At 45.6% G+C, this 15,576-nt stretch overlaps 4 annotated features.

Annotated features, from left to right (window-relative positions):
• Positions 12,049–12,358: a silencer, noted in NCBI's record as "silent region_485". NCBI's record gives its function as "represses an Ori minimal core promoter by ATAC-STARR-seq in GM12878 lymphoblastoid cells {active_cell/tissue: GM12878}" and the evidence as "EXISTENCE:reporter gene assay evidence [ECO:0000049][PMID:35858748]".
• Positions 12,579–12,718: an enhancer, noted in NCBI's record as "active region_513". NCBI's record gives its function as "activates an Ori minimal core promoter by ATAC-STARR-seq in GM12878 lymphoblastoid cells {active_cell/tissue: GM12878}" and the evidence as "EXISTENCE:reporter gene assay evidence [ECO:0000049][PMID:35858748]".
• Positions 12,759–12,978: an enhancer, noted in NCBI's record as "active region_514". NCBI's record gives its function as "activates an Ori minimal core promoter by ATAC-STARR-seq in GM12878 lymphoblastoid cells {active_cell/tissue: GM12878}" and the evidence as "EXISTENCE:reporter gene assay evidence [ECO:0000049][PMID:35858748]".
• Positions 12,956–13,671: an enhancer, noted in NCBI's record as "H3K27ac hESC enhancer chr1:26947729-26948444 (GRCh37/hg19 assembly coordinates)". NCBI's record gives its function as "activates a minimal SCP1, AML or CMV promoter by ChIP-STARR-seq in naive H9 embryonic stem cells {active_cell/tissue: H9 hESC(naive)}" and the evidence as "EXISTENCE:reporter gene assay evidence [ECO:0000049][PMID:30033119]".

Here is a 15,576-nt window from a genome sequence, read left to right on the forward strand (position 1 = left end):
TAATCCTCCCACCTTGGCCCCACAAAGTGCTGGGATTACAGGCATGAGCCACTGCACCCGGCCAGAATTTGATAACTTTCCATCTTTTTTTTTTTTTATTTTCAAGAGGGAGTTTCGCTCTTGTTGTCCAGGCTGGAGTATAATGGTGCGATCTCGGCTCACTGCAACCTCTGCCTCCCAGGTCCAGGGGATTTTCCTGCCTCAGCCTCCCGAGTAGCTGGGATTACAGGTGTGTGCCACCATGCCCGGCTAATTTTTGCATTTTTAATAGAGACAGGGTTTCACCATGTTGGTCAGCCTGGTCTCGAACTCCTAACCTCAGGTGATCTACCCTCCTCAGCCTCCCAAAGTGCTGGCATTACAGGCGTGAGGCACCATGCCTAGCCGTAACTTTCCATCTTAAGAACTATCACTGGCTAGGCACTGTGGCTCACACCTGTAATCCCAGCACTTGGGAGGCCAAGGCGGGTGGATCACCAGAGGTCAAGAGTTCGAGACCAGCGTGGCCAACATGGTGAAACTCCGTTTCTACTAAAAATACAAAAATTAGCCGGGTGGATGCGCCTGTAATCCCAGCTACTCGGGAGGCTGAGGCAGGAGAATTGCTTGAACCCAGGAGGTGGAGGTTGTAGTGAGCTGAGATCACACCACTGCACTCCAGCCTGGGCGACCGAGTGAGACTGCGTCTCAAAAACAAACAAACAAACAGAAAATTACACATACTCTCTTCTCTCTGCCTGGAATGACCCTCACCCTGGTGCCTTCTCATCCTGCCAGAAATTTTACTTCCTCAGAGTGGCGTTTCCTGACCATCAATCTTGAAGGAGGTTCATACCATTATTCTCTCTTTCAGGCTTTGTTCTTTTCATTCAGAAAAGTTCATCACAATTTATAATTCTGTTTACCTGTTTACTGTCTGTCTCTTCCTCTAGACTGTAAATTCTATGAAGGCAGGGACCACCATGTGTATATCCAATGCCTAATACAATACTTGGCTCATAGTAGATTATCAATAAATATTTGCTGAAATGCTGAGCGACATATAAGGCTCTTATTGGTATTCTTTTGTTGGTTTGTTTATTTTTTTCATTCCCAGGCTGGAGTACAGTGTTGTGATCACAGCTCACTGCAGCCTCAACTTCCTAGGCTCAAGGGATCCTCCCACCTCAGCCTCCTGAGTAGCTGGGATTACAGGCACATGCCACCACACCTGGCTAATTTTTATTTTTATTTTTTTGTAGAGACAGGGTTTAACTATGTTTTCCAAGCTGGTCTTGAACTCCTGGGCTCAAGTGATTGTCCTGCCTCAGCCTCCCAAAGTGCTGGAATTAGAGGTGTGAGCCACAAGTGCCTGGCCTGGTATTTTTTTTTTTTTTTTTTTTTTTTACTTAAAAAATACCCACAAAACTGGCCGGGCATGGTGGCTCACGCCTGTAATCCCAGCACTTTGGGAGGCCAAAGCAGGTGGATCGCCTGAGCTCGGAGGTTCAAGACCACCCTGGGCAACATGGCGAAATCCCGTCTCTACTAAAATACAAGAAAATTAGCTGGGCATGGTGGCACATGCCTGTAGTCCCAGCTAGTTGGGAGGTTGAGGCGCGAGAATCTCTTGAGCCTCAGAAGTGGAGGTTGTGGTGAGCCAAGATCGCGCCACTGCACGCAGCTTGGGCTACAGAGTGAGATTCCATCTTGAAAAAAAGAAAATTTATTATTATTATTTTTTGTATTTTTAGTAGAGTCGAGGTCTCACCATGTTGGCCAGGCTTGTCTCGACCTCCTGACCTCAGGTGATCTGCCCGCCTCGGCCTCCCAAAGTGCTGGGATTACAGGTGTGAGCCACTGTGCCTGGCCAAAATTTACTTTTTGATATGAAATTTTCAACCAAGACTCATGGGACTTTATATTTTTGATGACTGAGTAGCTTTCAAAGGGAAAATTATGCATTTAGCAATGGTGCTAGAATTAGGTTCAAATTAACAAATTAAAGGTCTTAACCTAGGATCTGAGAAGTATTAAACCAGTTAGGAACTTTGTTTTCCCAGATATGTGCATAGCTTGTTTGCTTCCTCACCCTCTTCTTTACTGTAGTGTCACCTTCTCAGTGAGATCTTCCCTGCCCATTCAATTTAAAATTTAAACCCTCCCCCAACACTCATTTCCATTCTCTGCTTATTTTTCCTCCACAGCACTTATCATTTAACATATATCATTATTTTGTTTATATATCTCTCTCATCACCCCTTTGCTGTCTCTCCCATAATGTAACCTCCATGAATTTTGTTCACTGTTTTATCCCTAGCATATAGGACAATACTTGAGACATAATAGGCACTCAATATTTGCTGAACGAATATAAAGAACACTCATGAGTTTTCTCTTTGAATCTAATAGTGTGAGAATATGGAAAATCCACAATATGGCATTTCAGCAAAACAGTGATGGGACTTTGCAACCCAAATGTTTCTTCTAACAATACCCATAGCAGACCAGCATGTCCACATCTAAATTGCTCAGCTCTGAGAATAATGGAAACTTTTTTAGTCACTGTTTATTCTACTTAGAATTGTAAACTATAGGAAGAAGCAGAGTGGTGTCCAGGGGGTCATCTTGTAAGAGAATGCTCTCCCAAATCTCGGGCTCTGGGCAGTCTGCCTGTCAAGTAAGATTGGGGGTCATTAAGATAATCCTCTCTTCTCACTTTCAGAGGATTCCCTCTAAAACACAAGTACCCCAGGAGGGGAATCACAGCTTAATCCTTCTTCGTTTAACACTTGAGCTGGATTTAGGATATGAGGTGAGGAGTGGGCAGGAAGATTCATTTTACTAATTTTGTAATGCCTGGGGCAGAATTTGACCAGCTTTTTCCCACATCAGTCTCCTTCCCCCTAAATATCACTCCACAAACAAATGCTACAGACTGCAATTGATTGAGAATAGGAAACTGTTTTTAATCAGCTACAATTCTATCAACCTGTTCTACTCTGCAAACGTAATTACCAAGAGATCACAGACCTAAAGGAGATTCTGTTTTCAAACATACCAAACCGGTGCCACGGAGAGTGAACCAGATTATCTGCCTTCCAACTTGTGCCCTAAAGTGTAGACTTGGTTGTAGAGTGCCCACCTATGAGGTCACCATGTAGTATAAATAAGTATATACTGTATATGTAATTAACACCCAAATGTTTATACTCAAGTTGAGTGTCTTCTATGGCAAGTGCTATGAGCAGTGATTCTCCAACTCCTATCAGGGGATTAGTTAGGTACCTGAATGTATGCAAAAAATACAGATTCCTTAGCCCATCTTAGTTCTAACAAAACAAAATCTCTGGGAGGATACAACCTGATCATCTATTTTTTAAATAAGCATCCAGTGATTATCATGAATGGCCAGTGAGGAATCCCTGTAAGGGATACCCAAGAAATACCTTTATATATTTTATAAAGGTATATAAAATATAGTTTATTTGTAAAGTTAGACCTGAGATATGAAATAACTGAACATGATTTTCACTAGAGTGGTCAACAATTTGGAACACTACATAATGCTATCGATGTACAGGAAGGGAGAAATTAGTAGTGGGGAAGACTGAGTTGAGGAAATAAGACCCTGGTGGGCCTCAAGGTTCAGATAGGATTTGAATAAAGGAGAGAGAAGCATGTGGAGGAAAATCAGTAGGGAAATGAACAAAGGTTCGGAGGCAGGAACATAGGGGCACGTTCTCAGAACGGTGAGTTTGGCCAAATTAGAATAGACACTTTGATGAAGAGTTAGAAATAGTGATTGATAAGTAGGGTTGGGACAGAATACACAAGGTCTTAGAAGTCAGGCAAAAAAGTCTAACGTGACTGAGATGGGAAAATAGGAAGTAAAATCAAATCACCAACTGAGTAAAATACATTCTGAGTAATAGAAAGGGCATGGGTTTTGGTACATACTTAAGAGTTAAGCGGGCTGGCCGGGCGCGGTGGCTCATGCCTATAATCCCAGCACTTTGGGAGGCCAAGGTGGGTGGATCGCTCGAGGTCAGGAGTTGGAGACCAGCCTGGTCAACATGGCGAAAACCCATCTCTACTAAAAGTACAAATATTAGCCGGGTGTGGTGGTGCATGCCTGTAATCCCAGCTACTCAGGAGGCTGAGGCAGGAGAATCGCTTGAACTTGGGAGGTGGAGGTTGCAGTGAACCAAGATCGTGCCACTTGCACTCCAGCCTGGGTGACAGAATGAGACTCCATCTCAAAAAAAAAAAAAAAAAAGAAAGAAAGAGAGTTAAGCGGGCCAAGCACGGTGGCTCACACCACACCTGTAATCCCAGTGCTTTGGGAGGCTGAGGAGGACGGATCACCTGAGGTCAGGAGTTCAAGACCAGCCTGGCCAACATATAGTGAAACCCCATCTCTACTAAAAGTACAAAAATTAGCTGGGTGTAGTAGCACACGCCTGTAGTCCCAGCTACTTGGGAAGCTGAGGCAGGAGAATCACTTGAACCCGGGAGGCGAAGGCTGCAGTGGGCTGAGATTGTGACACTGCACTCCAGCCTGGGTGACAGAGTGACAGTGCGAGATCCCATCTCTTTAAAAAAAAAAAAAAAAAGTTAAGCCTGCCCCTTTTTCCTGTTAATTGAACTACTCTCCAGTAAGGCAGTAAGGGAAAACTTACCAGAGGAACCTGTCATAGCATACCTGTTGTCTGTCTTCTGGGCCAAGAGTCAAATACAAATCTCTTCAATCTCTGATACAAATTTCCTTTGCCTCTTCCTATTGAAATCAGTGGAAAGTTTCCAGGGAAGCTGAAAGCTGCTTTACAACTTAGAGCAATACTTACTTCAAATGTTAGAAACTCATCTGGGTCTGTTCGAAACCCTAAAGTAGTTTTCTAAATCTTAAACATATATTGGTCTGGAAATTCTCCATAGCTCACAAAGCACTTACCTACACTGAATATGAAGGTATTGCTTCCAATTCTCCTGGTAAAATAACTCGTGGGGCTGGGCACAGTACCTCACCCCTGTAATCCCAGCACTTTGGGAGACCAAGGCAGGAGGATCAGTTGAGGCCAAGTCTTTGAGACCAGCTTGGGCAATAGAGCAAGACCCTGTACCTCACGCCCCCCAGCCCCACCCCCAACAACAACAACAAAAAAAGGCTGGGCACAGTGGCTTCTCAGCACTTTGGGAGGCCAAGGCAGGATGATCAAGACCAGCCTAGGCAACATAGGGACACCCCAACTCTACAAATAATTTAATTTAATTTATTATTATTATTATTTTTGAGACAGTTTTGCCCTTGTTGCCCAGGCTGGAGTGCAATGACGTGATCTCAGCTCATCGCAACCTCCGCCTCCCGGGTTCAAGTGATTCTCCTGCCTCAGCCTCCCGAGTAGCTGGGATTACAGGCATGCGCCACCACGCCTGGCTAATTTTGTATTTTTAGTAGAGACAAGGTTTCTCCATGTTGGTCAGGCTGGTCTCGAACTCCCGACCTCAGGTGATCCGCCTGCCTCGGCCTCCCAAAGTGCTGGGATTACAGGCATGAGCCACCGCACCCACTCTACAAATAATTTTTAAATTAGCCCGGCATTGTGGTGCGCACCTGTGGTCCCAGCTACTCAAGGAGCTGAGGTGTGAGGATTGTCTGAGCCTGGGAGATTGAGGCTGCAGTGAATTGTGACTGCACCACCGCACTCCAGCCTGAGAAACATACACCCTGTCTCTAACCAAAAAAAAAAAAAAAAAAAAAAAAAAGAAGAAGAAGAAGAAGAAAAAGAAATTGTGAACTCTATGATCCTACAGAAAAACATTTTGAAAATAGACGGGCACAGGGGTAACGATATGTACCTAAGTAGTTAGGCTTTTTCCCTTTCTCTTCTATTTCTTTGCTCACTAAACAAGAAGTTTCAGAAGTCAATGTTCAAGCCAGAAAGCCAAGCTTCTGGGTGATAGAAGATTTTCTGGTTTCAGATTAAACAGAAAACTAAATTAGCAAATTAATTGTTGGATGTATTTTCCTGGGCCCTTCATCAGCTGCTGCAGGACCAGTAACCAATGAAAGATGACTTCTGGCTGCCCTGGAGAGGGGGCAGGGTTCAGAATCAGGTTCTGCTAGCTACCAAGTGTCAGACATGTTAATTTCAAATTACTTTTGTACAGCTTGGTGTCAAAATGATTAAAGCATGAAGAGAAAAACAGAACCAAAGGAGAAAGAAGGGAAATCATTTACCTTGCATTTGGAGCAAGGACACTTGCAATTCTATTTCAGCTGGCTTTCTCCCACAAGCTATGGAAATTCTAAGCTTTAGTTAGGCCCTTTAGTGATCACCTAAGATAGGAGATCATGGCTCTCCATTTCCTTTGTATAATGTCACTATCTCTATATAGCAGAGTCTATATCACAAACACTAATATGGTCACATTTTCTTCCCCTTTCCCCCCAATAAAACTTTATTTTGATAACATTGGGCTCTACATGTCAGGAACTGTACTAAGTATGCTTTACATTTAAAGTATCAAATAATCCTTGCAACATGCTTTGTGTTATTATTCCCATTTACAGATGACAAAACTGAGGCTTGGAGTGGTAAAGCTACTTGCTCTAGTCACTTAGCAGAGGCAGAGGTGGGATTCTAGTCTCAGGTTTGTCTGACTACAGAGCCATACTGCCTCCTCTCAATTTTCCCTTTTGGATTGGAGGAACCAAGAATTTGGTTCTGATTGTTAAGACAACTTCATTGTTTCTTTTAACAGTCATGGGTGTCTTATTTTTGTCTAAAGATGCTGCTGAGGTCAGCCTTATTTTCCATAAAATAACAATTTTTAGAGAACCAGTTTCCCAGGGTGAACAGGTAACCAGCTCACTGGTTGGCTTGTCTTTGTCTCCCAGTACCCAGCTTTTCTAGTTGGTTTCATGGGCTTCATGACACTTTTTGCTCAAGATGAGTCATCTCATCTGATTTTTGTATGTGAAGTATAAGGCTGATCTCAGTTGCTACTGCTTTTCAACCATCCACGCAAAGCTGCACTGCTTGAGTTCTCTTAGTCTGCCAGATTTGATTATTTTCCTCACCCTTCCTATAGCCACTCACTTCACATTACCTGATTATTTAATATTATTATTTTTTTTTTTTTGAGAAAGAGAGAGTCTCACTCTGTTGCCCAGGCTGGAGTGTGGTGGCACAATCTTGGCTCACTGCAACCTCCGCCTCCTGGGTTCAAGCGATTCTTGGCCAGTTCACATTATCTTTTTTCATTATCTTCTTTTTTTTTTTTTTTTTTTGAGACAAAGTCTCACTCTGTCGCCCAAGCTGGAGTGCAGTGGTGCAATCTCGGCTCACTGCAACCTCCGCCTCCTGGGTTCAAGCAATTCTCCTCCCTCAGCCTCCCAAGTAGCAGGGACTACAGGCACACGCCACCATGCCCGGCTAATTTTTGTATTTTTAGTAGAGACAGGGTTTAACCATGTTGGCCAGGCTGGTCTCAAACTTCTGACCTCGTGATCTGCCCGCCTTGGCCTCCCAAAGTGCTGGGATTACAGGTGTGAGCCACTGTGCCCTGCCCACATTATTTTAACATGTTGTTGGCCTCTAGAATTGCAGTGTGGTGTTACAATTCGATTTTTTTTTTTTGAGACAGAGTCTTGCTTGATCTCCACTCACTGCAATCTCCACCTCCCAGGTTCAAGCGATTCTCATGCCTCAGCCTCCCGAGTAGCTGGGACTACAGGCGCCCACCACCAAACCCGGCTATTTTTTTTTGTATTTTTAGTAGAGATGGGGTTTTGTCATGTTGGCCAGGCTTGTCCTGAACTCCTGGGCTCAACTGATCCGCCCACCTCGGCCTCCCAAAGTACTGGGATTATAGGCATGAGCTGCTGTGCCTGGCCACAATTCAATTTTTAAGATTCTAGTGGTGTAGAAGTCACAATATTGCTCCCTGGACACTACTAAGTAAGTTTTAGGTACACAAGAATATCCCAAGGATGCTGAGTGATACCAAAGCCACCATTCAGGATAATATTGATAATGTCAGAGAAGTGATCTATAAACACAGGATAATTACCCACTGATAAATTCAGAAATATTGAACCTTAGAACTTCAAGAATGTTATCAGCTGACTTTTGGAGAGTGCTAGGTGCTTTCCAACAACCTAATGAGGTAGGTTATGTTATTTTCCCCCTCTTTACAGTGTCCAAGTGAAGCACAGAATAAGGATGAAAGGCACCTTAAACATTATATAGGACAGTGACAATTCACACTTTGCCTCCACTGAGTGATGTGCAGCTTGTTACATTCCAAGGCAGCCTATTTCATATTCACATGACTTCTTCCATATTCTGAGCTAAAACATATGTTTCTGAAGTTCCTATCTCTTAGTTCCGGAGCCTTGGGGCCTCCCAGGACAAGTCTAATTTCTTTGTACATAATAGTCCATCAGGTGTTTCAAGATGGTCTTTGATCACTCATGAATTCTCAACTCTTCTTCATAAGCCAGGGTTTGTGAAGAAGTTCCCTCACCATCTTGGTTGGTTGTTCTATTACATCCTTCTAAAAGAGAACATATTGCTTACGTGTGGTCTAATACAGAATAAATTGAGGCTCTTTCCATGTTCCAGATGCTATATTTCTATTAATACAGGCTAAAATTTGAATTAATTTTTTTCTTTTGGTCTCATCTTCTAATACCATCACTTATTTGAAGAAAACCACCAACCTGACTCCCCACCACCTCCCCTTGCCATGTACTTGATTTTCATGTTTATGCTCCTCTTCTAGTTCTGTCATAACACACCCACACACTTCTATTCTGCATGACCTTGATCCTCATTCTTTGCATGTGGTACTGATTTCTCCATGTGCACATATGTTACACTTATTTTCTCTCAGTTTCCTTCCATCGCCTTCTCTCATCCCACTTTACCTCCTGGTTTCTACCTTTCCAACATCAGAGAATCCAAGTCAGAAAAACTGTCTTGCTTTTTTATAATGTAAGGTAGACGTGTTCTGAAACATTTTTGTCTTGTTTGAGACAGTCTCACTCTGTCACCCAGGCTGGAGTGCAGTGGCACCATCTCGGCTCCCTGCAACCTCTGCCTCCCAGACTCAAGCAATTCTCATGCCTCAGCCTCCCAAGTAGCTGGGACTACAGGTACATGACACCATGCCTGGCTAATTTTTGTATTTTTAGTAGAGACAGGGTTTCACCATGTTGGCCAGGCTGGTCTCGAACTCCTGGCTTCAAGCGACCTCTGAGCCTCAGCCTTCCAAAGTGCTGGGATTATAGGCGTGAGCCACTGTGCCCAGCTTGAAACATTATTAACCAGTGAGGCTGGGTGTGTTTGTCCTGCTTAGCACTTACAATGCATATCCTGACAGTCTGAGGCTAGCTTCCAAGAAAGTAATCTGATTTGGGAATGCTTTTCCTAAGTAGATCTCCACATATTTCACTTTATCAGAGTTCCAAAGGAAAAAAATATGGCCCAGGACTTACTCATATAGGAGATATTATGAATGCAAAAGGTGGTAAATTAATGATACTCTTCACTCTATGGACATTTAAACTTATAAACAGCTTGGGTGATGTGGAAAACATAATGGAAACAGTCTGGGTTCAAATCCTAGCTCTGTTCCTTCCAGGCTAGGTGTTGTTGGGCCAGCTTACTGCTCTGTGTCTCCATGTACTATCTGTAAAATAGTGGCAACAATTCAGTTGTACTCACTTCTTAGCCCTGTTTGGGCTAATTAAAATAATTTTTAATTTAATTTTTTTTTGAGTCAGTCTCACTCTGTCGCCCAGGCTGGAGTGCAGTGGCACGATCTCGGCTCACTGCAACCTCCACCTCCTGGGTTCAAGTGATTCTCCTGCCTCAGTTTCCCGAGTACCTGGGACTATAGGCACGCACCACCGTGCCCAGCTAACTTTTGTATTTTTAGTAGAGACGGGGTTTCACCATGTTGACCAGGCTGGTCTCGAACTCCTGACATCAGGTGATCCACCTGCCTCGGCCTCCCAAAGTGCTGGGATTACAGGCATGAGCCACCACACTCAGCCTAATTTTATTTTTTTGAGACAGGGTCTTCCTTTGTCACCCAGGCTGGAATGCAGTGGCCCCAACCTGGCTCACTGCAGCTTCGACCTTTCGGGCTCAAGCAATTCTCCTGCCTCAACCTCCTGAGTAAGCTGGGACCACAGGCATGCACCACCACACCTGGGTAACTTCTTATTTTTAATAGAGACAAGGTCTCACTGTGTTGCCCAGGCTAGTCTCGAACTCCTGGGCTCAAGCGATTTGAGGAGTTAATTCTTATAAAGGGCTTAGAACAAACAGTGTCTGGCTCACAGCTATTATTATTCCTGCATGTTTGTAAGATAAGTTAAAGGTAGAACAGAAAAATTATTTCTTCCAGGCACTTGGGTTTTCTGCCTGCATCTTTACAAGCCTGGATTACTGAAGCGTTGGTATTGAGGTTTTGGCTTTATAAGGAAGTAGACATTCAGAAAGAGGCTCAAGAGTCATTTGTGAATGAATGCCCCTCAATCTTGGGCTGGTTAAGAGCAGGGTAGAACTGTTATTTAAGAGGGAGCGTAAATGCCAGAAGAATCATAATCTATCAGATGAGATCCAGCATGATCTCTTCCTTTTCTTCCTGTTGCAAAAAAAAAAATTTTTTTTTCAGACAAAAATGTGTAATTGTGGCTCCTAGCTGATCTAACAGAAGAATTAAGTGGTCTACGTGGACAATATTTTGTGCTTTTTAAATATTTGGATTAAAAAAAAACATGAAAACATGACCTCCTTCCACTCCCCGCCCCCCCACCCCGCCCCCGAATAAAACCCACTTTTAAAGTCTTGGTCATATAGCAGTTTAGTACAGAAGTCTACAAAATGTCATGGGTTCCACAGAAACTTACGTTTGGTTGTGTTGTATGGTCTACAATATAGATGCTACACTAACACTGAAGAAATTAGCTTAGATTGTGTTAAATCGTGTTAAAACACATTAAATAAATGCAAAGAGCCCAGAACAAAGAAAGTGATTAAGCTGGTTTAACCGCATTCAGCCCACTATGCTAAATCCCCTTAGGGGGCTCAAGTTAAACAACAAATTTGGTTTCTTGGCCTAAATCTTTTTCTTCAAAGAAGAAATTTTCCTGTGATTCTGATAAGTTTGTTTTCATTTTTCAGTCCCAAGGGACGTTGGGTGAAAATATCCTATCTGATTGGAGTTGCATTTGAGGAAGAGATGTACTAGAGAATAGAATAGAGGGCGACGGGTTATTGGGTTCCTTGAACGAACTGAGGCATGGGAGGTGTGCGATTGTTCAGCCCCAGAAAAAGGCCAGCTAGTGACACCCGGGATGAAAATTTTATCCGGCAGTGAATCAAATAAGGCTGCGAGGGAGATAATAAGGTGTAATTATAGCAGTGCTGTTAGTGCCTGTTTATGGGGTCTGGCAGCAATTTGGTTGATCACCCCTCATTTTGAGAAATTTGTAATTTGGCAGTAAGAATTCTTGCCTTAACATTTGGCACAAACCCTCACAGTTTAATATTGCAAAATCTGGGAAATGTTGAAATGTGGCTGCTATTCTAATTGAACTTTTTCAGGCTCTTTCGAATTCGTGTTTTTCCTGTTGGATTCAGAAACAAACGCCTCTCTTTTGAAAAGTTCATGAGGTTTTTAAAAATCACAAACTCAAGTAAGCTTACAAGCGAATGTACTGCTGTAAAAAACTCTCGTGACTTAAATCTTAGTGTACAGACGGGGGAAAAGCTGTCACTCGAAAAACCCGAGTTCCTTCTGTTGGTAGCCCTTTAAAAATTCTCCACAATCAGTACTTTAATTCATTTGGCTCAGAGCAGAGCAGCGTGGCGTTTGTTGCTCTTCGTTTTACCAACCGACCGTTTCCCCCAAGATTACTCCCCGTTGTTTTAAAGTAGAAGGGAGGTCACTAGGCGAGTGAAATGTGGCCCACGCAGACTGGGACAAGTTGGCCCAACGTGCTTCTCTAAAGTAACTGGAAGTTTTCTGACAGGAAACCGGTCAGTTCTTGTGTCTCTCAGCTCTGGTTCCCACGGCCCCGGCGGCAGCTGCGCCCCCGACGCCCCTCTCGGAGCCCCGCAGGGGCGCAGAGCACTGTGGGCGGCAGGGGGCAGCAGCGGGAACCCGTTGTTCTAGAGGCGGGGGATGGGGCGGGAAGCCGCCCCCCCTCCGTTTCCGCGCCCCACTCCCTCCCCTCCCCCGCTCGCGCCCTCCCTCCCATCCGCGGAGAGAAGGGCGGGGGCGCGGAGCCCTCCCGCGGGACAGGGGGCGTGTGCGTCCCCTCCGCACCCCTCCCCCCGGCCCGGCTCTCCTGGCTCCCCGAGGCGGGAGTTTCCAGGAAGAGCTCAGAGCGCGGCCGCACCACCGAGCGCACGGAGACATCAAGTAGTCCCTCAGAGCGACCTTGTTAGAGGGGAATTCTAGTTGCGAGGGGCTGTCGGAGTTGGAACCCCGAAGAGATAAGGGGTAGCGGCCCAGCCAGCAGGATCTCAGGTAGTTAGGTCTGAGCGCCCACTTCCATTCCTGGAGAAGGATGTGTGGGGGAGGCGGAACGAGTTCCGGCGGAGGGCTCGGGCGCGCCCGGTGGAGTGAAGCGCCGCGCGGTCGAAGGGCTCACAGAGTTGAAGTGGGCGGGAAAACCCGGAGCGGACTCGCTCCGACACGCCCAGGGCCTCCTGCCCTATTCTTCGTGGGGGAGGGGAACGAAAAGAGCAAAAGAGAACAACGTGTTCCCTTCCTCGGCTTCCTAACTCCCGGCCGAGGAGACAGGAGCCCGCCCGCCACTTCGAGGGACACGCTGCGGGCCTCTCAGATCCCGGCGGGGCGAGGAGGGCCGCGCGGCTGCCGTTCTAGCGTCCGCACCGTCGACGCTGAGCGCGCGGTCAGAAACCCGGGTCTGCGGACTAGAGGTGCTGGGCGCGCGCTTCCCGCCCCTTTTCTGAGCGCGTTCACCTCCCCCTTTCCCCCACGTTCCTCAGCCGCCACCTCAGAGCCTTCCCCGCATCCAGCTCTCTCTCTTCGGGAGAGGCGGCCCGTCTTGCCCATCCACTGAATAACCCCTTCACCCCAGTTTTTTCGACCCGCCTTTCCTGAGCTTCGGTACAAACTCCGCAGCTAGAGCTCAGCTTTCACATTCCCGCCTCCGCCCTCAGTCTCCCCTCCCAACCCTGAAGCACTTCCTGCAAACTGCCTTGTTCTCGCTCCTCTCCGCCCCGCCGCCTCCTTGCTCTTACTGGATGGCTGCTCTCACGTTGGCTGGGCGGCGGGTTATGATCCTGTATTCCTGCCTTCCTCAGAGAGCAGCCTCCTTCCCCATTTTAGAGATGGGGAAATTAAGGTCCACGGCTCTGACGGCCTGACCCCTAAAGGCTCCTCGAGTTCCCGAAATCCAGCACCGTAACTGCCGCTAGAAGGATAAACCCTCGACTTTCTCTAATTTAAGCAACCTTAGAAAACCAGCGCCTAAACCTTTCCTCTTAGGACCCTCAAGCTTTCTGACCAAACACCACCAGCCCAGTTAGCAAAAGCCATAGAAATAATGTACATCGCAGGTCAACTGTGTAACGATGACTTACGTTAGAAGAAGGGCCAGTGAGAGATTTTAGCTGGCATACGGGGTTTATAGACGTGAGACAGGTTATCTTTTAAACGTAAAGTCGTTTTTAAGCACGATGTGTAATGCTTTCTCTTAGATTTTGTAATTATCCTATTCGCTGTCCCGGCTCAACACTGTTCCTTAGGGTTTGAGAACATTTTCATGAAATGTGACCCCTCAAAAAAACACCAAACTACCATTTTAATTTTAAAAGATAGCTTTTCCTGGCCGGGCGCGGTGGCTCACACCTGTAATCCCAGCACTTTCGGAGGCCGAGGCGAGCAGATCACGAGGTCGGGAGATAGAGACCATCCTGGCTAACACAGTGAAACCCCGTCTCTACTAAAAATACAAAAAATTAGCTGGGCGTGGTGGCGGGCGCCTGTCGTCCCAGCTACTCGGGAGACTGAGGCAGGAGAATGGTGTGAACCCGGGAGGCGGAGCTTGCAGTGAGCCGAGATCACGCCACTGCACTCCAGCCTGGGCGACAGAGCAAGACTCCATCTCAAAAATAAATAAATAAATAAATAATAAAATAAAAGATACCTTTTCCTTTTTGTTAATATGGTTGGTTTTATTTATAAAAAATTTTTTAAAAAGTAATCAATCTAGTGGTAGAGATAAAACTTTTCTCCACCACAGGCTTATATGGGTAAAAATTCATTGTTTTCGTCTAGAGTATTTCATTATTTTTTCGAGACCGAGTCTCCCTCTGTCACCCAGGCTGGAGTGCAGTGGCGCCAGCTCACTGCAACCTCCACCTCCCGTGTTCAAGCGATTCTCTTGCTTCAGCCTCCCAAGTAGCTGGGATTAGAGGTGCGTGCCACCACGGCCCCGGCTAATTTTTGTATTTTTAGTAGAGACGGGGTTTCGCCATTTTGGTCAGGCTGTTCTCGAATTCTTGACCTCAGGTGATCGGCCCACCTCGCTCTCCCAAAGTGCTGGGATTACAGGCGTGAGCTACCGTGCCCAGCCTTAATATTCCATTATTTTATCGCTTAAGTTATATATTAATTGGAGGTTTCCAAAATGCTTTTTTCTCTCCTTAAGTGCTGCTCTCAGGTTCTTTTTTTTTTTTTTTTTTGAGACAGAGTCTCGCTCTGTCGCCCAGGCTGGAGTGCAGTGGCGCGATCTCGGCTCACTGCAAGCTCCGCCACCCGGGTTCATGCCATTCTCCTGCCTCAGCCTCCCCAGCAGCTGGGACTACAGGCGCACGCCGCCACGCCCAGCTAATTTTTGTATTTTTAGTAGAGACGCGGTTTCACCGTGTTAGCCAGGATGGTCTCTATCTCCTGACCTCGTGATCCGCCCGCCTCGGCCTCCCAAGTGCTGGGATTCCAGGCGTGAGCCACCGCGCCAGGCTCAGGTTCTGAATATGTAGATGAAGAGATGGGAACAGTAAATAACTAAGAATTGTCCAAATAGAAAGAAACAGGAGTAGGCAGTGATGTAATAGGAATATGAAGAATGATGACACAGTCCGATGTTAAAAAATAAGATGATAGGAATGAATGGCAGGAAAGAGAAATGTAAGTGTAAGGGTGGCCAGCTCTCCAAAAACTTTTAATTTTTAATTTTTTAGGGACAGGATCTCTCTTTGTTGCCCAGGCTGGAGAACAGTGGCTCAATCATAACCCATGCCCAGCTAATTTTTAAATTTTTTTTTGGAGAGATTGCGGGGAGGTTTGCCATGTTGCCCAGGCTGATCTCCAACCCCTGGCCTCAAGCAATCCTCCTGCCTCGGCCTTTCAAAGTGTTGGGTTCACAGGCATGAGACACCATGCCCGGCTAAGATTTAAAATACTGAAGAAAGATGGTAAAGTCTTAGGAATTATGTACTGTTTAGCTTTACATATGTGTTCACATACATAGCTTTTAATTGAGGAAGGATGAAATTGTCTTGGATTTAAGCACTTGCCTACATACATAGATTTGATGAGGAG

The sequence above is a fragment of the Homo sapiens genome, chromosome 1 (genome assembly GCF_000001405.40).
Source record: "Homo sapiens chromosome 1, GRCh38.p14 Primary Assembly".
Lineage (NCBI taxonomy): Eukaryota > Metazoa > Chordata > Mammalia > Primates > Hominidae > Homo > Homo sapiens.